Source organism: Homo sapiens, chromosome 20 (genome assembly GCF_000001405.40).
Source record: "Homo sapiens chromosome 20, GRCh38.p14 Primary Assembly".
Taxonomy (NCBI): Eukaryota; Metazoa; Chordata; class Mammalia; order Primates; family Hominidae; genus Homo; species Homo sapiens.
The window spans coordinates 63952213-63971192 of record NC_000020.11 but is presented as its reverse complement, the minus strand read 5'-3'; the positions used below and the strand labels follow the sequence as shown (position 1 = coordinate 63971192).

General features: G+C 63.2%; 2 protein-coding genes and 1 long non-coding RNA gene across 46 annotated transcripts in view, besides 10 other annotated features; 2 read left to right on the top strand and 1 right to left on the bottom strand.

Annotated features, from left to right (window-relative positions):
• Nucleotides 1076–1155: a silencer, noted in NCBI's record as "silent region_13196". NCBI's record gives its function as "represses an Ori minimal core promoter by ATAC-STARR-seq in GM12878 lymphoblastoid cells {active_cell/tissue: GM12878}" and the evidence as "EXISTENCE:reporter gene assay evidence [ECO:0000049][PMID:35858748]".
• Nucleotides 1263–14489, top strand: ZNF512B (zinc finger protein 512B). Of its 7 annotated transcripts, XM_047440326.1 has the most exons (18): nt 1263–1379; nt 1952–2064; nt 3241–3363; nt 3670–3812; nt 4189–4317; nt 4412–5052; nt 6477–6703; nt 6802–6873; nt 6976–7122; nt 7280–7404; nt 7483–7575; nt 7753–7851; nt 7928–8098; nt 8412–8606; nt 8819–8920; nt 9189–9251; nt 9786–9884; nt 11054–14489. In XM_047440326.1, the coding sequence occupies exons 1-18, from the start codon at nt 1270–1272 to the stop codon at nt 11303–11305; spliced, it is 2904 nt and encodes a 967-aa protein (XP_047296282.1). In that variant the 5' UTR covers nt 1263–1269; the 3' UTR covers nt 11306–14489. The 7 variants fall into 7 exon arrangements, with proteins under 7 accessions (XP_047296282.1, NP_065764.1, XP_047296283.1 ...); NM_020713.3 differs by lacking the exon at nt 1952–2064; XM_047440327.1 differs by lacking the exons at nt 1263–1379; nt 1952–2064 and adding an exon at nt 1536–1675.
• Nucleotides 1838–2373: an enhancer, noted in NCBI's record as "H3K4me1 hESC enhancer chr20:62600173-62600708 (GRCh37/hg19 assembly coordinates)". NCBI's record gives its function as "activates a minimal SCP1, AML or CMV promoter by ChIP-STARR-seq in naive H9 embryonic stem cells {active_cell/tissue: H9 hESC(naive)}" and the evidence as "EXISTENCE:reporter gene assay evidence [ECO:0000049][PMID:30033119]".
• Nucleotides 2374–2911: an enhancer, noted in NCBI's record as "H3K4me1 hESC enhancer chr20:62599635-62600172 (GRCh37/hg19 assembly coordinates)". NCBI's record gives its function as "activates a minimal SCP1, AML or CMV promoter by ChIP-STARR-seq in naive H9 embryonic stem cells {active_cell/tissue: H9 hESC(naive)}" and the evidence as "EXISTENCE:reporter gene assay evidence [ECO:0000049][PMID:30033119]".
• Nucleotides 12818–13703: an enhancer, noted in NCBI's record as "H3K27ac-H3K4me1 hESC enhancer chr20:62588843-62589728 (GRCh37/hg19 assembly coordinates)". NCBI's record gives its function as "activates a minimal SCP1, AML or CMV promoter by ChIP-STARR-seq in naive H9 embryonic stem cells {active_cell/tissue: H9 hESC(naive)}" and the evidence as "EXISTENCE:reporter gene assay evidence [ECO:0000049][PMID:30033119]".
• Nucleotides 13704–14591: an enhancer, noted in NCBI's record as "H3K27ac-H3K4me1 hESC enhancer chr20:62587955-62588842 (GRCh37/hg19 assembly coordinates)". NCBI's record gives its function as "activates a minimal SCP1, AML or CMV promoter by ChIP-STARR-seq in naive H9 embryonic stem cells {active_cell/tissue: H9 hESC(naive)}" and the evidence as "EXISTENCE:reporter gene assay evidence [ECO:0000049][PMID:30033119]".
• Nucleotides 14011–14220: a silencer, noted in NCBI's record as "silent region_13195". NCBI's record gives its function as "represses an Ori minimal core promoter by ATAC-STARR-seq in GM12878 lymphoblastoid cells {active_cell/tissue: GM12878}" and the evidence as "EXISTENCE:reporter gene assay evidence [ECO:0000049][PMID:35858748]".
• UCKL1-AS1 (UCKL1 antisense RNA 1) lies at nt 14208–17809 on the bottom strand. Its single transcript, NR_027287.2, has one exon. It is a non-coding gene; the product is annotated as a UCKL1 antisense RNA 1 (long non-coding RNA).
• Nucleotides 14621–14680: an enhancer, noted in NCBI's record as "active region_18258". NCBI's record gives its function as "activates an Ori minimal core promoter by ATAC-STARR-seq in GM12878 lymphoblastoid cells {active_cell/tissue: GM12878}" and the evidence as "EXISTENCE:reporter gene assay evidence [ECO:0000049][PMID:35858748]".
• The window catches only part of UCKL1 (uridine-cytidine kinase 1 like 1), a 16588-nt gene continuing 12384 nt past the window's right edge, over nt 14777–18980 (top strand). For all 38 annotated transcript variants that reach the window (NR_148437.2, NR_148441.2, NR_148439.2 and 35 more), the window contains exon 1: nt 14777–14933. Coding sequence is in view for 21 of the 38 variants with exons in the window: in NM_001353476.2 (NP_001340405.1) it covers nt 14821–14933 (113 nt within the window). In the remaining 17 variants the exon portion in view is untranslated. The remainder of the gene's footprint in view (nt 14934–18980) is intronic.
• Nucleotides 14811–15180: a silencer, noted in NCBI's record as "silent region_13194". NCBI's record gives its function as "represses an Ori minimal core promoter by ATAC-STARR-seq in GM12878 lymphoblastoid cells {active_cell/tissue: GM12878}" and the evidence as "EXISTENCE:reporter gene assay evidence [ECO:0000049][PMID:35858748]".
• Nucleotides 15281–15330: a silencer, noted in NCBI's record as "silent region_13193". NCBI's record gives its function as "represses an Ori minimal core promoter by ATAC-STARR-seq in GM12878 lymphoblastoid cells {active_cell/tissue: GM12878}" and the evidence as "EXISTENCE:reporter gene assay evidence [ECO:0000049][PMID:35858748]".
• Nucleotides 15381–15690: a silencer, noted in NCBI's record as "silent region_13192". NCBI's record gives its function as "represses an Ori minimal core promoter by ATAC-STARR-seq in GM12878 lymphoblastoid cells {active_cell/tissue: GM12878}" and the evidence as "EXISTENCE:reporter gene assay evidence [ECO:0000049][PMID:35858748]".

Here is an 18980-nt window from a genome sequence, read left to right as displayed (position 1 = left end):
TGGTAGAGGCTGCAGTGAGCCAAGATCACACCACTGCATTCCAGCCTGAATGACAGAGCGAGACCCTATCTCAAGAATAAAAAAAGAACGGAGAAGGAGAAAGGAGAGGAGGGGAAGGGAGGGGAGGAGAAGGGAGGGGAGGGGAGAAAAAGAAAGAGAGAGAAAGGAAGGAAGGAAGGAGAAAGGGAGGGAGGGAAGAGAAGGAAGGGAAGGAAGGAGAAAAGGAAGGGAGGAAGGGAAGGGAAGGAAGGAAGAAGGAAGGAAAGGAAGGAAGAAGGGAGGGAGGAAGGTAAGGGAAGGAAGAGAAGGAAGGGAGGAAGGGAGGGAGGGAAGAGAAGAGAAGGAAGGAAAGAGAAAAGGAAGGAAGGAAGAAGGAAGGAAAGGAAGGAAGAAGGGAGGGAGGGAGGGAAGGGAAGGAAGAGAAGGGAGGGAAGGAAGAAGGAAGGAAGGAAGGAGAGAAGGAAGTAAGAGAGGGAAGGAAGGAAGGCAGGCAGGCAGGCAGGCAGGCTCTCCTGGGGGAGATTCTTGTGGGTCCTGTGCCAGTCCCGTGTGGTGCCTCCTACCAGTCCTCTTTAGGAGAGCCAACCTTTCTCTGTCTCATTCATTCCCAAGTCCTGTGCTGTCAGTGCCCCGCCACCTCCAGACCACTCAGCCCACACCGGACCCCAGTGCCCCCTGCCTGCAGAAGCCCAAGCTGTGGGGCAGAGAAGGCCCTGGCACTGGTTCAGAACCACTGCCCCCAGAGCTGGGAAAGGGTGACCCAATGGTCAGTGACCCCAGTAAAACCCCATGGCCTTAAGCCGCCAGGCACCTCCGGGGGTCAGTCGCAAAAGTGGTCTCAGGGCCAGTTGGAAGAAGGCTGAATCCTGCGCTGCCGGTGCACGGCCCCCAGGGCCAGAGGTCAGGGTCCCGAGCCCAGAGACCACACTCGCCGCGCGGGCCAGGATGCGGCGGAATCAGGTCGCCTCAATCCGTGCGCGCCGGACTCCGGGCAGTGCCTAGCGCCCCTATCGGGCCTCAGTTTACCCCACTGTCCAAAAAACGTCCCCCGCCCCAGGACGGCAGAACCGGCTACTCTGGACTGCGGGCCCGGCCGACGGGGGCGGAACCGCGGAGCGGGGGAACCACAGGCCAGCGCCGGGCCCCCGCCCCCGCCCCCGCCCCCTCCCCGCCCCCTCCCCGTCGCGGAGCGGCCGCGGGAATAACGCGAGAGTTCGCCCCCTCCCCCCCGCAGTAAAACTGTCAAAGGTGGGAGGGGCGGGAGCGCGCATGTGCGCAGCGCGGCGCGCAGCCTGCGCCGCCCGGACCCAGCGCCCCGCGCCCCGCGCCCCCCGCCCCGGCCCGGCCCGGCCCGGCCGCAGCCCCGCTGGGCGCCGCAGGTAAGCGCCCGGCCGCGCCCCGGACCCATTCTGGCCGCAGCCCCGGCGCCCACCGCGCCCCGGATCTCGACCCTGCGCGCAGGCCAAGGAGGGGGCCGGGCCCGGAGCCCCCCCGCCCCCCGCCGCGCCCGAGCCCCCGCGCCCCGCGCCGGCGCCGTCTTCCTGCCTCCTCCTTCTCCAGAAAAAGTCGCCATTTTGGTTCACTGCCTTCGCCCCCCCACCCCGCGCCCGCGATCGGCCCTGCCCGGCCAGGCCGAGGCCCGCGCCCCGCGCCCGCTCCCGGCCCCAGGTGACAGGTGGGTGGCGAGGCTGGCCCCAGGTGCGCGTCCCTGGCCGCGCTCACCCGCGCGCCAGGCCTGGGCCGGGGTCCCGGGCCGAACGGCCTACGCGGCGGACCCGCTGCTGGCGTCTCCTGCGCGCAGCGCGGCGGAGCCCCCTCTCCCCGCGAGGGCTCTGTGTCCCCGCTGGGCTCGGGAGGGCCGAAGCCCCTTCTCATCCGGGGCGCCAGTCGCGTCTCTGCCTCCCAGGCTGGCCCTGGCCTCAGGCCCCACTATTCTGAATTCTTCTCCCAGGCTTCAGAAAAATTGGAAGTGGGGCCTCAGCAGGCACCTGCACCCCAGGCCACCGGGGTCATCAGGTGCTGGGATGACTCATGCCGGCCCTGTCTCCTTTCAAAAGTTGCAAAGTGAGGACTTCCAGAGAACTTTGTCCCCGGACACTGGCCTCCCCCTTGGCAATGGGCAGTGACTGTCCTGACCTCTGACCTCAGCTCTCTGGCCCTCCTGGACACAGCAGCCCCTTCCCATCCCCTCGGATCCAAGTTAATTAGAAGCTATCAGGAGGGGGCCACCTGCCCACTCAACCCTCACCCTGCTTCCTGTCCCACCCCCTTCCGTGGCTTTTCCACAGGGCTGGGCCCAGAGTCTCCTCTGCTCCCCAGCTCTCAGGATGGGGTTCCCAGCAGCACAGGCCCTCGGGGGCCCCAGCCTTGGGCAGCAGGGCGTTCTCTCTGGCCAGCATCCTGGGCCTTCACTGCTGGTGCTTCCACGACTTGTTTGGCTGAAGTGGTAGTGGTGGGTCTGTAGGCAGAGGACTGAGAGGATCCAGAGAGAGGTGGGGGGCGGGTCAGCCTGCCAAGCCTGGAGACAAGTCTGCGAAGAGCATCAGGTAGGATAGTTCAGCCGGCACAGGGACGGGAGCTTGGTGCAGTGCCAGATTGGGCCAGGGGTCCTCAGTGCCCACCTTGGCTGTTTTCCATCTGTGTCTGGAGAGAAGATTCCAAGGGTACCTGCCTGGGTAGGCTGGCATTGCATCAAGTCAGCATGGGAAGGTATGAGGGCCCCAGTGAGAAGCTGTGCCCCCACTGCTGGGCCTGGGCAGCTTGTGAGCCAGCAGCCATCATCAGAGACATAATTGGCCCCTGGAGGAATGTTGCCAGCCTCCTTCCTCCTGCGCAAGGCACCTCTCCCAGGGGCACACCCCCTCCCAGCACTGGGTAGGAGTGCATCACCTTCGGCATCATCTTCGCAGCTGTGGGGCTACGCACACTGTGGAGCTGCGTACACTGTAGAGCTGCGTGTTGGGAAGGGGGTCTGGAAGTTGGTGAGGGTCTCAGGACAGGACTAGATCCTATCAAACTGATGATGACTCCTGGGTTATCTGGGGAGACCTTGGCTGGCAGCCCCTCCCCTAAGTCAGAAGCCCCCATCACTTGCTTTTCCCACGTGAACAAAACCACAGGAAGGCAGGCCCCTCTTCCCTGACCAGAGAGGACCTGCCAAGGGCAGGGCTCCAGGGCAGCCTCACCACGTGTTCCAAGTGGGGCCCGTCAGGCTTCACAGATTGTCTACTTGCTCTGCAGAGATGACGGATCCTTTCTGCGTTGGAGGCCGTCGGCTCCCGGGGTCCAGCAAGAGTGGTCCCGGGAAGGATGGCAGCCGAAAGGAGGTCCGACTTCCAATGCTGCATGACCCACCGAAGATGGGTAAGAGGAGTCAGGGCCAGAGTCAATTCCAGATGGTTCTGGGCAGCAAGTGGTAGGAGTGGACCATTGCCCTGGGCGTCCTGTCTCCAGGTACCCAGCTAGGCCCCTAGAGTTCCCAAGGACCTTACCAGGGTAGGGGTTGCCTTGGACATAGCCCAGGGTCCTGGGTTCTTGTCCTCAGCTGGCCGCAGCCCCTGCCCCCGGTGCCCTCGTGTTGGGACAGCGGTGCTCACTGTGGGCCTGTGCAGCCGCCGGTGGTAGGCGGTGCTACACAGCTTCCGAGCCTTGCTGTGTTGTGTGCTGCAGGGATGCCGGTGGTCCGTGGTGGACAGACAGTGCCCGGCCAGGCCCCTCTCTGCTTTGACCCGGGAAGTCCAGCCAGTGACAAGACAGAAGGGAAGAAAAAGGGGCGGCCAAAAGCCGAGAACCAGGCCCTCCGAGACATTCCTGTGAGCTCCCTCAGGGCCATGGTGGGGCTCATGCTGGGGTCTCCCTATCCAGCCACTGCCCTGCCCTGATTTGTCCTCTGCACATCTGGTACCAACTCTATGCCTCAAGATGTGGGCACTGGCCTGGCAGACTTCACGTGGCCTGGCTTTGTATCTGATGTGCCGGGAGATTCGGGGGATCGCGTTGGTGGGCTCCTAGAACGGGTCTTGTGCATGGCCCCTGCCAGGTGGCTTGAATTCCCACTGCAGTCCCGAGGTTGAGGGGCTCATGTGGTGTGTGTGCCCTGCAGGCCCGGGGGGGCTCTGAGTCTGGGGCTCGGGCTGGCAGTGGCCCAGGTGGCTGCGGGTCAGCAGCACCACCTTTCCCCACGCCTAGCTCTCCCTGATGAACGACTGGAAGGATGAGTTCAAGGCACACTCGAGGGTGAAGTGTCCAAACTCAGGGTGCTGGCTGGAGTTCCCCAGCATCTACGGGCTCAAGTACCATTACCAGCGGTGCCAAGGGGTAAGGGACTGTGGGTCGGGGGAGAGGAGGCCTCGGGGTGTGTTTGGGCAGAGGCCCTTGGGGCCCTGTCCCAAACCTTCCCTTCCCTGCCCAGGGTGCCATCTCAGATCGCCTGGCCTTCCCCTGCCCCTTCTGCGAGGCCGCATTCACCTCTAAGACCCAGCTGGAGAAACACCGGATCTGGAACCACATGGACCGACCCCTGCCTGCCTCCAAGCCTGGGCCCATCAGCAGGCCGGTCACCATCAGCCGGCCTGTTGGGGTCAGCAAGCCCATCGGAGTGAGCAAACCTGTCACTATTGGCAAACCTGTGGGTGTCAGCAAACCCATTGGCATCAGCAAGCCAGTCTCGGTCGGCAGACCCATGCCAGTCACCAAGGCCATCCCGGTCACTAGGCCCGTGCCAGTCACCAAACCTGTCACAGTCAGCAGGCCCATGCCCGTCACCAAGGCCATGCCGGTCACCAAACCCATCACAGTCACCAAGTCTGTGCCGGTCACCAAACCCGTACCTGTCACCAAACCCATTACGGTAACAAAGCTTGTGACAGTTACGAAACCCGTGCCGGTCACCAAGCCAGTGACAGTCAGCAGGCCCATTGTGGTCAGCAAGCCGGTGACAGTCAGCAGGCCCATTGCTATCAGCAGACACACACCGCCCTGCAAAATGGTGCTGCTGACCAGGTCGGAGAACAAAGCACCTCGTGCCACAGGGAGGAACAGTGGTAAGAAAAGGTATGGGGGCTCGTCCCAGGTCGGGGAGGAACAGTGGTAAGAAAAGGTATGGGGGCTCGTCCCAGGTCAGGGAGGAACAGTGGTAAGAAAAGGTATGGGGGCTCGTCCCAGGTCGGGGAACAGTGGTGAGAAAAGGTATGGGGGCTCGTCCCAGGTCGGGGAGGAACAGTGGTGAGAAAAGGTATGGGGGCTCGTCCCAGGTCAGGGAACAGTGGTAAGAAAAGGTATGGGGGCTCGTCCCAGGTCAGGGAACAGTGGTGAGAAAAGGTATGGGGGCTCGTCCCAGGTCGGGGAACAGTGGTAAGAAAAGGTATGGGGGCTCGTCCCAGGTCGGGGAGGAACAGTGGTAAGAAAAGGTATGGGGGCTCGTCCCAGGTCGGGGAGGAACAGTGGTAAGAAAAGGTATGGGGGCTCGTCCCAGGTCGGGGAGGAACAGTGGTAAGAAAAGGTATGGGGGCTCGTCCCAGGTCAGGGAACAGTGGTGAGAAAAGGTATGGGGGCTCGTCCCAGGTCGGGGAGGAACAGTGGTGAGAAAAGGTATGGGGGCTCGTCCCAGGTTGGGGAGGAACAGTGGTGAGAAAAGGTATGGGGGCTCGTCCCAGGTCGGGGAGGAACAGTGGTAAGAAAAGGTATGGGGGCTCGTCCCAGGTCGGGGAACAGTGGTAAGAAAAGGTATGGGGGCTCGTCCCAGGTCGGGGAACAGTGGTGAGAAAAGGTATGGGGGCTCGTCCCAGGTCAGGGAACAGTGGTGAGAAAAGGTATGGGGGCTCGTCCCAGGTCGGGGAACAGTGGTGAGAAAAGGTATGGGGGCTCGTCCCAGGTCGGGGAACAGTGGTGAGAAAAGGTATGGGGGCTCGTCCCAGGTCGGGGAACAGTGGTGAGAAAAGGTATGGGGGCTCGTCCCAGGTCGGGGAACAGTGGTGAGAAAAGGTATGGGGGCTCGTCCCAGGTCGGGGAACAGTGGTGAGAAAAGGTATGGGGGCTCGTTCCAGGTCAGGGAACAGTGGTGAGAAAAGGTATGGGGGCTCGTCCCAGGTCGGGGAACAGTGGTGAGAAAAGGTATGGGGGCTCGTCCCAGGTCGGGGAGGAACAGTGGTGAGAAAAGGTATGGGGGCTCGTCCCAGGTCAGGGAACAGTGGTGAGAAAAGGTATGGGGGCTCGTCCCAGGTCGGGGAACAGTGGTGAGAAAAGGTATGGGGGCTCGTCCCAGGTCAGGGAACAGTGGTGAGAAAAGGTATGGGGGCTCGTCCCAGGTCAGGGAACAGTGGTAAGAAAAGGTATGGGGGCTTGTCCCAGGTCGGGGAACAGTGGTGAGAAAAGGTATGGGGGCTCGTTCCAGGTCAGGGTGCTCCTCGGCCACGGCCTGGGGGTAATGGGGCCCACAGTTAGGCCCTCCTGGCCCTCACCTCACCTGCTCCCTGCAGGGCTGCGGACAGCCTGGACACCTGCCCAATTCCACCCAAGCAGGCCAGGCCAGAGAATGGGGAGTACGGCCCCTCCTCCATGGGCCAGAGCTCGGCCTTCCAGCTGAGTGCAGACACCAGCAGTGGCTCCTTGTCGCCAGGCAGCAGGCCGTCAGGGGGCATGGAGGCACTGAAGGCTGCAGGCCCTGCGTCCCCGCCTGAGGAGGACCCGGAGCGCACAAAGCACAGTAAGATGAGAGCTCCAGGGGTGGCGGCCGGGGCAGGCTCGGCCTCCTGACGGTTATTTCACCAGAATCTTGGCCCCCGTTTTCTCTCCCCGAGTCAGGAAGGAAACAGAAAACACCCAAAAAGTTTACAGGGGAGCAGCCATCCATCTCAGGGACCTTTGGGCTCAAAGGTAAGACCCCAGCCCGGTGTGCACCTCCAGGGCTGGGGCTGTCCACCGAGTGACAGCCCCTGAGCCCATCCCTGTTTCTCTCCACCCCATGTGTGCACACAGGCCTGGTCAAAGCTGAGGACAAGGCCCGAGTTCACCGCTCCAAGAAGCAGGAGGGGCCAGGCCCTGAGGACGCCCGGAAGAAGGTGCCAGCTGCCCCCATCACTGTCAGCAAGGAGGCACCGGCCCCTGTGGCCCACCCAGCTCCAGGTAGGGGCTGCCTGGCAGGGGCTCAGGGCAGCTCTAGACGGCGGGTAGATCCCACAGCACAGGGATGGGGGCTGAGTGTGGAGACTGGATTCTGTGCCTGGCGTCTGGGCCACCCAGCAGCCCCCACAAGCCTTCGAGGCCCCTGCCTTACCCACAGGTGGCCCTGAAGAGCAGTGGCAGAGGGCCATCCATGAGCGCGGGGAAGCCGTCTGCCCCACCTGCAACGTGGTCACCCGGAAGACTCTCGTGGGGCTTAAGAAGCACATGGAGGTGTGTCAGAAGGTAAGGCAGCTCCCGGAAGGCGCTGGGAGGGAGGCGCCCTGGCCCCAGGCAGGCTTCTCACATGTGGGCCATCTGCAGCTTCAGGATGCACTCAAGTGCCAGCACTGCCGGAAGCAGTTCAAGTCCAAAGCCGGCCTCAACTACCACACTATGGCCGAGCACAGTGCCAAGGTACCGTCGGGCCCCCAGCTCCCGTCCAGCGTGACCTCTGACCTCGCACCCCACCTTCACCGCAGTGCCCCCGGTTTCTAACCTCGGACAACGGTGGCCCAACACCTGGGCGGGGCGGGGCCAGGGCAGGGCTCCGTGGCGATGGTGCCGGGTCACCGATGCTCACCCTGTCCCCAGCCCTCTGACGCCGAGGCCTCCGAAGGGGGCGAGCAGGAGGAGCGCGAGAGGCTGCGCAAGGTGCTGAAGCAGATGGGACGGCTGCGCTGCCCCCAGGAGGTCAGTGGGGGGCCGCGGCAGTGTGGGGTGGGGGGGCCCTGCTGGCCACTCACCCACCCTCTGGCCTGACCCCCAGGGTTGCGGGGCTGCCTTCTCCAGCCTCATGGGCTACCAGTACCACCAGCGGCGCTGCGGGAAGCCGCCCTGCGAGGTGGACAGCCCCTCCTTCCCCTGCACCCACTGTGGCAAGACGTACCGATCCAAGGCTGGCCACGACTACCACGTGCGCTCGGAGCACACGGCCCCCGTGAGTGGCTCTCTGTTCTGTGGCACAGTGCTTGTTCCTGTGTGCCGTGTGTGTTCCGTGTGCCTTGGGTGCCAACTGTATTTGTCCATGTACCGCCCAACGCGTGTGTTTCCCACCCCTCTCTGTAAGAGACGTGTGTCCTGGTGGGCGGGAGGGTGAAACCTCCGTGTTCCCTCGGGTTGCCTGCGTCAGCCATGTCCCCAGCACACTGGGAGGCCTGTGGGTCCACCGGCCTTAGGGTGGCCTCGCCGCGCGCTGACCTGACTCTTGCTCCCGCGGCTCACTCTAGCCTCCATGCCTTCCTGCCCTCCAGCCCCCTGAGGAGCCCACAGACAAGTCCCCTGAGGCTGAGGACCCGCTGGGTGTGGAGCGGACCCCAAGCGGGCGTGTCCGCCGCACGTCGGCCCAGGTGGCGGTGTTCCACCTGCAGGAGATAGCGGAGGACGAGCTGGCCCGCGACTGGACCAAGCGGCGCATGAAGGATGACCTTGTGCCCGAGACCGCACGGGTGAGCTGCCCCCCCCAGGGCTGTGGACAGCGCCGTGGCCTCTGCGTGGGGCATGCCTTGGCCTGAGACTTGGGACAGCCACTGCTGTGACCTGGGCCACCCGCTGCCCCCGCCATCTGCGGCGAGTGTCGCCTGCTGCCGAGGCGAGTGTTCTTAGAGCAGCTGGGGTGTCTTCTGGCCTCAGGCTCACCCTGGTGCTGTCGAATTCACAGCTCAACTACACTCGACCAGGGCTCCCCACGCTGAACCCCCAGCTGCTAGAGGCATGGAAGAATGAAGTGAAGGAGAAAGGCCACGTCAACTGTCCCAACGACGTGAGCGGAGGCAGCCGGGTGGGGGGCGTGGGGAGCCATACAGGGCCAGAGCCTGGGTGTGGCCCTCTGAGCAGGAACAGAGGCTGAGAGCTTTCAGGAGGTGCCCAAGCCCACCCCAGGCCTCACATGCCCAGCCTGCCCAGTCCCCAGGACTCACACCCCCTCACTTGCCCCAAAGAGCCTCAGAGATCCCCTGGGGTAGGGCAGGGGTATATCTTGGTGTGGGGTGCCCACCAGAGGCCTTCGCCCACGGCTCCCTTCCCTGCAGTGCTGTGAAGCCATCTACTCCAGCGTGTCCGGACTCAAGGCTCATCTCGCCAGCTGCAGTAAGGTCAGTTCTGGGGCCTGCCCCACGGCCAGGTGCGCTGCACTCAGAGCTCCCAGCTCACCCCACGCGGGCTTCCCACACAGTAGTGAGGGACCCTGCCTTGTCCCCTACTTTTTCTACGTGGCCTCCTCTTCCACGAACCCAGAGACTGGCCGGTGGCTGATGGCCAGCCTAGGACACCTCCCTCGCCCCAACCCCAGCCACAAGACAACGAGTCCTAGTCCTGTCCTTGGAGCTCTGCGTCCATGTAGGCATGGGTGGGCACCCCGACCCACGCAGATGGCACACTGGCTTACAATAAGGGATGCTCGGCAAAGGTCTGCAACTCTTCCCCTGGGCACCTGCCTCTCCCTACCCTTCCTCTCCCCTACCACCCCTGCCGCCCTGGTAACTCAGTGGCCCCCTGCATTGTCTGGCACAGACAGCCACAGCTTTCCTTGGGCCACCGCTGACTCTGACCCTTTAGCCATGAGTAGGGGCTTAGGACAGATCTGGGTCCTCCAAGGGCTGGGGCACTGGCCTGCCTATGCATTGCAGGGGGCCCACCTGGCAGGGAAGTACCGCTGTCTGCTGTGTCCGAAGGAGTTCAGTTCTGAGAGTGGCGTCAAATACCACATCCTGAAGACCCACGCAGAGGTGCGAGGGCCATCACCAGGGCCTGTGGCTGGGGGCTAGCCCAGGAGGGGACAGGGCTGGGGTTGGGCACCCCTTGGGGGTAGAGAGGTCAGTGGCCTGCATGGGGTGTGCCTGGGAGAGTGGCCAATGTGGAGAAATCTGGTAGTTTCTCCTCAAAGTGGGGTCTGGCTTCCCTGGGAGAACTGGGAGGCTTGCACCCTGAGCTGGAGCTGCCCTCGGGGTGTCCGCCTTTCCAGCCCCCAGCAGCCCTGCTGCAGGTGCTTGCCTGGTCCCGAAGGCTGTGTCCAGCCCTGCTGCAGGTGCTTGCCTGGTCCCGAAGGCTGTGTCCAGCCCCCTGCAGGTGCTTGCCTGGTCCCGAAGGCTGTGTCCAGCCCCCTGCTGCAGGTGCTTGCCTGGTCCTGAAGGCTGTGTCCAGCCCCCTGCTGCAGGTGCTTGCCTGGTCCTGAAGGCTGTGTCCAGCTCCCTGCAGGTGCTTGCCTGGTCCTGAAGGCTGTGTCCAGCCCTGCTGCAGGTGCTTGCCTGGTCCTGAAGGCTGTGTCCAGCCCTGCTGCAGGTGCTTGCCTGGTCCCGAAGGCTGTGTCCAGCCCCCTGCAGGTGCTTGCCTGGTCCCGAAGGCTGTGTCCAGCCCCCTGCTGCAGGTGCCTGCCTGGTCCCGAAGGCTGTGTCCAGCCCTGCGGCAGGTGCCTGCCTGGTCCTGAAGGCTGTGTCCAGCCCTGCGGCAGGTGCCTGCCTGGTCCTGAAGGCTGTGTCCAGCCCTGCGGCAGGTGCCTGCCTGGTCCTGAAGGCTGTGTCCAGCCCTGCGGCAGGTGCCTGCCTGGTCCTGAAGGCTGTGTCCAGCCCCCTGCTGCAGGTGCTTGCCTGGTCCAGAAGGCTGTGTCCAGCCCTGCTGCAGGTGCTTGCCTGGTCCCGAAGGCTGTGTCCAGCCCTGCTGCAGGTGCTTGCCTGGTCCCGAAGGCTGTGTCCAGCCCCCTGCAGGTGCTTGCCTGGTCCCGAAGGCTGTGTTCAGCCCCCTGCTGCAGGTGCCTGCCTGGTCCTAAAGGCTGTGTCCAGCCCTGCTGCAGGTGCTTGCCTGGTCCTGAAGGCTGACAGGTCTTCAGCTCTCAGGCTATGCCTGGCTCAGGTGCTCAGCATCCAGTCCCAGGTCTTCATCAGCGCTTTTCTCTCCCCAGAACTGGTTCCGAACATCAGCAGACCCACCTCCCAAACACAGGAGCCAGGACTCATTGGTGCCCAAGAAGGAAAAGAAGAAAAATCTGGCAGGTGGAAAGAAGCGGGGCCGAAAGCCCAAGGAGCGGACCCCAGAGGAGCCTGTGGCCAAGCTGCCCCCGCGCCGGGACGACTGGCCTCCAGGATGCAGAGACAAGGGGGCCCGGGGCTCCACCGGCCGGAAGGTGGGAGTCAGCAAGGCGCCTGAAAAGTGAGCATGGTGCGTGGGGCCTGGCCCCCATGCAGCCGCCACACCGCCCTCTGTTCAAGGCAGGGCCAGCTCCGGGACCTCTGTCCTCCAGTTCTCCATCCCCCACCCCCGCCTCTTCATCCGTCCAGTGGGGCAGCCAGCCACTCTCCCTTCCCTGAAGGTGGCCCTTCCCCTGTTAAGGCTGCCACAGGGCACACCTGGGTTGGGGCTCCCCAAGGTGTGCCCAGCAGAAGTGCAATAGCCAGGAGGGTTGCCCCTCCTCATGGGAATGTGTCTGGGGTCTTGGTGCCACAGGGGCTGCAGCGCAGAGTAGGCAGATGGCCTTTGGCCCCCCGGCTCCGCTTCCTCAGGCCCTGCCGGGTCCCTTCCCTGGCTACCCCAAGGCTCAGGCATCCCTGGTGACCTGTGGTTCTGGGCTGGTGAGGGCACCTGAGCAACCTGGCACGGGCAGCCACCATCCTGGCCTCACCTCCACCCAACACTGGAACTCCAGCACCCCCAGCTACCTCCCAGGACAGACCCCTGTCTGACCACTGCCATGCTGACCTGACAGGCTCCGGCCTGCCCTTGGCCACCCACTTGGTCCCCTTGCTTCTGTTTTCTACCTCTCCAGGCCTGCCCACTACCCCCACCCCTGCTCCTCCTTTGTCAGTGCGATCCCTGCTGTGCTCAGGCCCTGCCCCCCAGGCCTGTCTGTAATTCTCCCAGCTTGGGGCAAGGGAGGGGTTTTGCTTCTTGTACCTACAGGGCAGCAGAAGCTTGATGCCCTTCAACACAGCTGCCAGCCCTGGGGGTGTGGGGCCCCTGGAGTGTGCTCTCCTCCAGTGTTCAGCCTTCTGGCACTGCAGGCCTAGGTTGGAGCAGCCTCGTGGAGTAGGGACGGACTAGTTCGGGCCCTGGGGTCTTGCTGGGGCCCATAGGCATGTGGGGCAGGAAGCTGGGCAGAGCTGGCCTGGCTCTGAGTGGCCACTGGGGGAAAGGCAGCCTTCTGTCTGCCAATCTGGGTAGGCCCAGTGGCCAAGCTCTCATGGGAGCCCCCTCCCCACTTTTTTTTTTAACCTGCCCCCATTGTTTCTGGTTGTGTGGTCATTTGATATGGGAACTGAAGGCCAGCCAGGGGAGGGGCTTGGCCAAAGTCACAGCAGGTTGATGGCAGCTCCAGAGCTGTCTTTGCCCCTTTGTGGCCCTGAGGACGGCTGGGTCTATAGGTAGGGCAGGGGTCAGGCAGGGAGTCCAGGGTGCCTGGAAGAGGTGGCCACAGCCTGTGGCTCCCTCCCTGGGGTCCTGCCTTCCAACCACGGCATTGCAGGGAGGATGAGGCTCAGAGGGGGTAGGTTTGGAGGGAGGCCATTTTCCAGGGTGGGTGGGAGTGGGCTGAGGGCTCGGCCCCACTGACCCTGGACGATGAGAATTTTGATGTTTGCCCGTGTGCGTGTGTCTCCTGGGTGTAGTGGATGCCAGTCTTGTTGCTGTGACAAGTAACAACCTTTTTTTTAAATTGTTTTTTATACAAACACTCGCAATCCGACATTTGGTGCTAAGGGTTTCCTGGTGCAGACGGTGGGCCTGGGGGCTGGGCTGGACCAGGGCGTGGGTCTCTGGGGTTGGGGTCCCTTGCTGCTCAGGGAGGCAGTACTGACTGGGCACTGCCTCTGCCCCCAGCACCCACCCTCCCCCATTCCCCAGGGAGAAGGGGCCCCACTGGGCTTGGCCTGCAGTAGTAGGGAGACAAGTTCCAGGAGCACTTTGGGGACTGGGGTTGCAGAACACTTCCTGTCTCTGGCTTCATCCTTGGGCCAGAAGGCTCCAACCCTCAGCAGCCCTTGCCAGATGTGCCAGGGAGTGGGTGTGGAGACCCGGACTCCCCCCACCCACGCACACCTCGGCCTGATGAGAGGATGGAGGCTGGGGCAGAGATGGGCGTGACCCAGCGTCAGAGGGTCGGGGGAGGCATTCCTTCCTGTGTCCCAGAGCTTCACTGGTGGAGCTGGAGGAGCCGGAGGTGGAGGGTGGGGTCTGGCAGCTGCTGCTGGGGCAGCCTCATGAGGGGAGGGGAGGGGAGGGGAGGGGAGCAGGCACTGGGCGGGGGCCTAGGTGCACTTTGTCCTTGCCACCAATGGCGGGAGGAGGGTGGACCTGAACACCTGCAGGGTGTGGTGCCTGCCCCAGCCTCTCAGGTACTTGGCCCTTGGGGAGAAGAGAAGAGGGTCTGGTTTTTGCTGGGGGTGAGTTTCCGGGACACTCCCAAAGCCCACAGATAATCCCTGGTGTGGGAAGAGGAGTCCTGGATACCTTGATGTTTAGCACTTTAACCCCCTTTGTCTTTAAGGTAGGCGTGGGGGCTACTGCCAGAAGTGGCTGTTGGGTCTGACCCCCTCCTTTCTGCCCTCCCTCTGCCACATGCTGGTCCGCAGAGCCCTCCTCCCAAGGGGTGGGGCCCTGGGTGGAGCTCAGCAGGGTCTGCCCACTCCCTACGCTGGCCCACATAGGCCTCCAGGAGCCCTCAGTGAGAGGGACCAGCATAGCTGACCCCCAGAGTGTGGTGGGCGCCGGCCCTGCCCGAGGCCCAGTCGGGGCCCTTTCTGCAGATCTACCTCTGGCTCAGCGCACGCCCCCTGCCCTGAGAACAGGAAAGGGCCCGGAAGGGCTGACTCACCGGGCCGACGCTCACACGAAAATGGGATGCACTTTATTTGCTGGTGCAAAGGCAGGTGAGGGTGCCTCCTGTGTGACCGTTGGCCCTCCTGCCTGGTGGCGCTGAAGGGAAGGAGCCAGTGAGCCTGACCCCGGGAGGGGCCGTCCCCGTGTGCCGCGTTTGGCGGGGCCCCAGGCGGCTCCCCCAGGCCCGGGTCTGGGGCCCCAGGCTTTCCCCTGCCTCGCGGCCGGGCGTCCCGTGCTTTGGGTTTCTTGGTTTGGGTTTTTTAATGCCAGTTCTCAGTACATAAGTGCATTTTGAAAGAGGTTCCAGCTATCACTTGTAACCATATATATATACATATATATTCTATCTACAAAGTGTTTATTTGCGAGATGTTTCAACGGTGAGTTCGGGCCCCGCCCGCCTTGTGACCATCTGTCCCCGGTCCTCGTCCCCGCCCCGCGCCCTGGTCCCGAGTGGCGTGGGGACGGGCCATCACTGTATGTATTAAAATGACTGTATCAAATAAATGTTTATTGATTTTTTTCCAGGGTTTTTGTGCGGCTCAGTTTGTGGTGAAAAACAGGGGGCGGGGCCCTCCAGGCACGTGGCGGAGGCTGCCGAACTACGGGTCCCCCATGCCCGCCGCGCGGCCTTGTGGGGCTTGTAGTCCGCGACGCGCGGCCTTGTGGGGCTTGTAGTCCGCGACGCGCGGCCTTGTGGGGCTTGTAGTCCGCGACGCGCGGCCTTGTGGGGCTTGTAGTCCGCGACGCGCGGCCTTGTGGGGCTTGTAGTCCGCGGTGGGCAAGAGAGGGACCCGCCAGCTCCCGGCGGCCCATGCGCGCCGCCCGGCCAGGCCCGCAAAGAGGCCTCCGAGCGCCATGGCTGCGCCCCCGGCCCGCGCGGACGCTGATCCTTCGCCCACGTCGCCACCTACGGCCCGAGACACACCAGGCCGGCAGGCTGAGAAAAGCGAGACCGCGTGCGAGGACCGGTAGGCGTGGGCCTCGCCTCCACTCCACTGGCGAGCGGGAAGGGGCTGCAGATCCGGCCGAGCTGGGCGGGTGGTCCGTCCCCGCCGCGAGCCCAAGTCCCCCACTCCCGGAGGCCAGGCGGCGGCGCCCCGTTCTCCCACGTGCCGGGTGGAACCCCGCGGGCTTGAAGCGGCCGGGAGGACGGACCTGGCCCAAGCCGGCAGGCTCCTCGGGGCTCGGGGAAGGAGTCCGGGTGCGCACCCCCAGCGTTGACCTTGGTCTCTGCCCCCGGTGGGTGGGGCCCTCGGCCTCGAGCGCCCGGCGGGCTGTGTGCCTGCTCGACTGTGCGAGTTGGTCTATGTTGTCGGCTCGGGGTGTGGCCCTGCCCGACCCGCGAGGCCAGGGCTTAGGATTTGGAGGTGCTGCGGCGCACGGTGCCTTCGGATTGCCTCGCACGCGCGTGGCACCTTCGAGCCTCTGCGGGGGCTTTGCAAGAGCATGAAGTGGGGAAGTTGTGGGGGTGCAGCGGGAGGAACCCGCCCCCACCCCGGTTCGTCACCCCGAGTGGCCCCTCTGGGAGCCGGGCCCTGCGCGGCGCCTTTGGGGCCGTGGCCGTCAGGGGGCGGTGGCCACGCAGTGCCCGGGGCTGCAAGAGGGCGCTCTGGGCGCTGCCCCTCCCTTCCGGGTCTGAAGTGTCCCTTGGGGAGCCCGCGGGGTCCCCAGGAAGGGGTTGTTCCCACTCAGGCGCCTCTTGCCTGGGTTCAGGCTGTGACTCCTGTCAGAAACGCTGTGAGCCAGGACTCCCTCAGAGATGGGCTGCGCTGGATGCCGCAGGGGGAAGGGTGTCCCGGCACAGGGTCGCTCCTCTCCAGGAGCTGCTGAGCAGAAAGAGCTTTCCCCTGGCCCTGCGTCCCTTCAGGTCCACACCCTCCCAGTGGGCAGTGACTAGGAACTTTGCATGGCTGGAGTCTAATAGGGCCTGAGTCTGTTCCTCTGCTGGTTCCAAAGAGGCGTTGTTTTTTTGTTTTGAGATGGAGTCTCACTCTGTCGCCCAGGCTGGAGTGCAGTGGCTCGATCTCGGCTCACTGCAACCTCCCTTTCCCGAGCTCAGTTCAAGCAATTCTCCTGCCTCAGCCTCCCGAGTAGCTGGAATTACAGGTGTGCGCCACCACGCCCGGCTAATTTTTTTTTGTATTTTTAGTAGAGAGGTATTTTGTCAGGTTGTCCAGGCTGGTCTCCAACTCCTGACCTCAGGTGATCTGCCCGCCTCGGCCTCCGTGGGATTACAGGCGTGAGCCACCGCGCCCAGCCACCAAAGAGGTTTTGATTTAACCCGAGGTGGGGCAGGCCAACGCTAGATAAGCACTGAGAGCTCTTGAGAAAGGCACTCCTGGATGACACAGGTTGGTGGCAGCAGCCATCTGGGCCTGCCCTGTGCACAGACGGTGGGCTGGGCACGGTGGCCCTCGCTGTGTCCCACGAGGCAGAGACTGTTGTTATCTTTCTTTGGTGTGGTTACCAAGGGACAGGAGGGAAGCTCCAGGCAGTGAGGATAGATTGCAGCACCCTTCTCCAGGGGCCCCGGTCTGCCCTGGAACTGCCTCTTGTCTTAGGCACATTTCTTGCACTTTGTGTCCTGATGCTTGTGCCATCGAGGACTTCCTCTGCCCCAGCCTAGGGCTTTTCTCACTGTTCCCCGAGCGTGTCCCCAACGTTCCTGCGTCTGCCCCTCTTCAACCTCTGCTGCTGCCCTTAGTGTTCCAGAGCAGGCTCCAGCTTGGAGGTCTGTGCACGGGTGGAGGTCTGTCCCCAGGGCTGGGGTTCCTCCACCACCGTTCCAGTGCCTCCTGCCACATCCTCCCGGCAATCAGTCTGTCCATCTTGCCTGTTGTTTATTGTCTGCTTGCCACTCGTGACTCTGTCCTGGGCACCTGCCCCCAGAGCTGGCCCGTGCTGGTGCAGGAACAGGTCCTTTGTGGTGTTAGCAGTGACTCCTGGCTGCGGTTGAGATGGAGTCTGGGGCTGTGGAAGTGGGGAGCAGAGGGAGGCTGCCCATGATCTGTGCAGGGCAGGTCCTGCTGAGGGAAGGTTTCCTGAGTGGTGGGGTGGGCCAGGGCAAGCCCCCAACCCCCAGTGCTCATCCAGCCTGAGAAAGCAGCCCTAATGACTCTCCCTGAGTCAGTCCGGCACCAGTGGGGTCAGGCCTGCATTGGCTCCTGTGGGCTAGCTCCTCCCTGCTCCCTCCTCCCCCCAGCCTCATTTTAGTTATCCAGCAAACTTCCCTTAAACCTGACCTGTCAGGAGGTGCCGTGCTACAGGCACCCAGCAGGAAGGTCCGTGGGCGATGGTGACCCCAGGGGTGGTAGAACAGGCCTGAACCACAGCAAGGGAGTGCCCGAGCCTTCCTTTCTCCCTGTGTGCTCTCTCCCGTGGCTGTTTCCTCAGTGTCGGTTTCACATGCCCTGCGCTCCCTGCTGCTGGACGTTTGCTTCTGGTTTCCTTGGCATTGTGGATGGTTCGTGAGGGGCAGCCCTGCCTCCAGGTCTCCACACATGCCTGTGCTTATTTTTCTTCCTTTCTTTTTTTTTTGGAGATAGAGTCCTGGGCTGGAGTGCAATGGCACCATCTCGGCTCACTGCAACCTCCGCCTCCCGGGTTCAAGCAGTTCTCCTGCCTCAGCCTCCCGAGTAGCTGGGACTACAGGCGCCCGCCACCACGCCCAGCTAATTTTTTGTATTTTTAGTAGAGACGGGGTTTCACCATGTTGGCCAGGCTGGTCTTGAACTCCTGACCTCAGATGATCTGCCCGCTCAGCCTCTGAAAGTGCTGGGATTACAGGCGTGAGCCACTGCACCCGGCTGCCTGTGTGTATTTCTTTTGTTTTGTTTTGTTTTGTTTTTGAGATGGAGTTTTGCTCTTGTTGCCCAGGCTGGATTGCAGTGGCGCAATCTCAGCTCACAGCAACCTCTGCCTCCCGGGTTCAAGCAATTCTCCTGCCTCAGCCTCCCAAGTAGCTGGGATTACAGGCATGTGCCACTACGCCCGGCTAATTTTGTGTTTTTAGTAGAGACAGGGTTTCTCCATGTTGGTCAGGCTGGTCTCAAACGCCCAACCTCAGGTGATCCACCTGCCTTGGCCTCCCAAAGTGCTGGGATTACAGGCATGTGCCACCGTGCCCAGCTAATTTTGTATTTCTAGTAGAGATAAGGTTTCTCCACGTTGAGGCTGGTCTCAAACTCCGACCTTGGGTGATCCGCCCGCCTCGGCCTCCCACAGTGCTGGGATGACAGGCGTGAGCCACCGCGCCCGGCCACCTGTGCCTATTTCTTGACGATGACATCAGTTATGGGGCCTGATCACCGATGAGGCATCTGCCTTGGACTTTATGAGCTGACCCACCTGTAATGAACCTGCTGTTAGTCCTTGAGGAGGAAACTGAGGCAAGCTGTGGCTCCGTGGAGGGGACTGAGCCACATTCGACTGTGCTGTGGCCCAGAGTAGGATGGCTGAAGGTGAGGGAAGGGCAAGGGGTGCCCTGAAGTGACTGAGGCAGCCTCCAGCACCACGGGCCTCAGACAGCCCCACCTGCAAGGAGGAAGCCTTAGGCAGAAGGTGCTCTGGGCAGCGCTTACCCCAGCGCGGCATCAGCACCTGTGGGTGGCGTGGGAATGGGAGTTCTCTGGACCGGCCCAGCTCAGGAAGTTAGAACCTGGGAGGAACACCAGTGAATAGGACCAGGGCAGGCTACCCCTCCCCACCGTGAGCGGCCCCTCCCTGCCGTGGGCTGCTGTGGCCGAGAGCAGCCCCGTGGAGGGGCATGTTGGGGACCACGTGGCCTGCAGCGAGGCGACGTGATTCCAGGGTGGGGCCTGGTGGTTCCATTCACAGCTGCGTGCCTGGGCTCCTCCGTCCCTCGCCTGGCCAGCACAGTGCTGGCTTCCCCAGGCCTGTAGCCTTGCCTCTTGGCCGGCTAGGGCAGCCAGGGTGCATGCCCATGCCAGGCAAGACCAGTCTGCGTCCACTCTGCTGTTCAGACAGCCCAGCCAGTGGCATGGCCCCCAGGAGCC

Bases quoted from the DNA above. Each gene is read 5' to 3' on its own strand.
- ZNF512B (XM_047440326.1), top strand. From the start codon at position 1,270: ATGTGCGCAGCGCGGCGCGCAGCCTGCGCCGCCCGGACCCAGCGCCCC. The intron at 7,576-7,752 runs GTACCGTCGGGC...CCCTGTCCCCAG, and splicing joins TGGCCGAGCACAGTGCCAAG to CCCTCTGACGCCGAGGCCTC. The intron at 8,099-8,411 runs GTGAGTGGCTCT...CCTGCCCTCCAG, and splicing joins GCTCGGAGCACACGGCCCCC to CCCCCTGAGGAGCCCACAGA.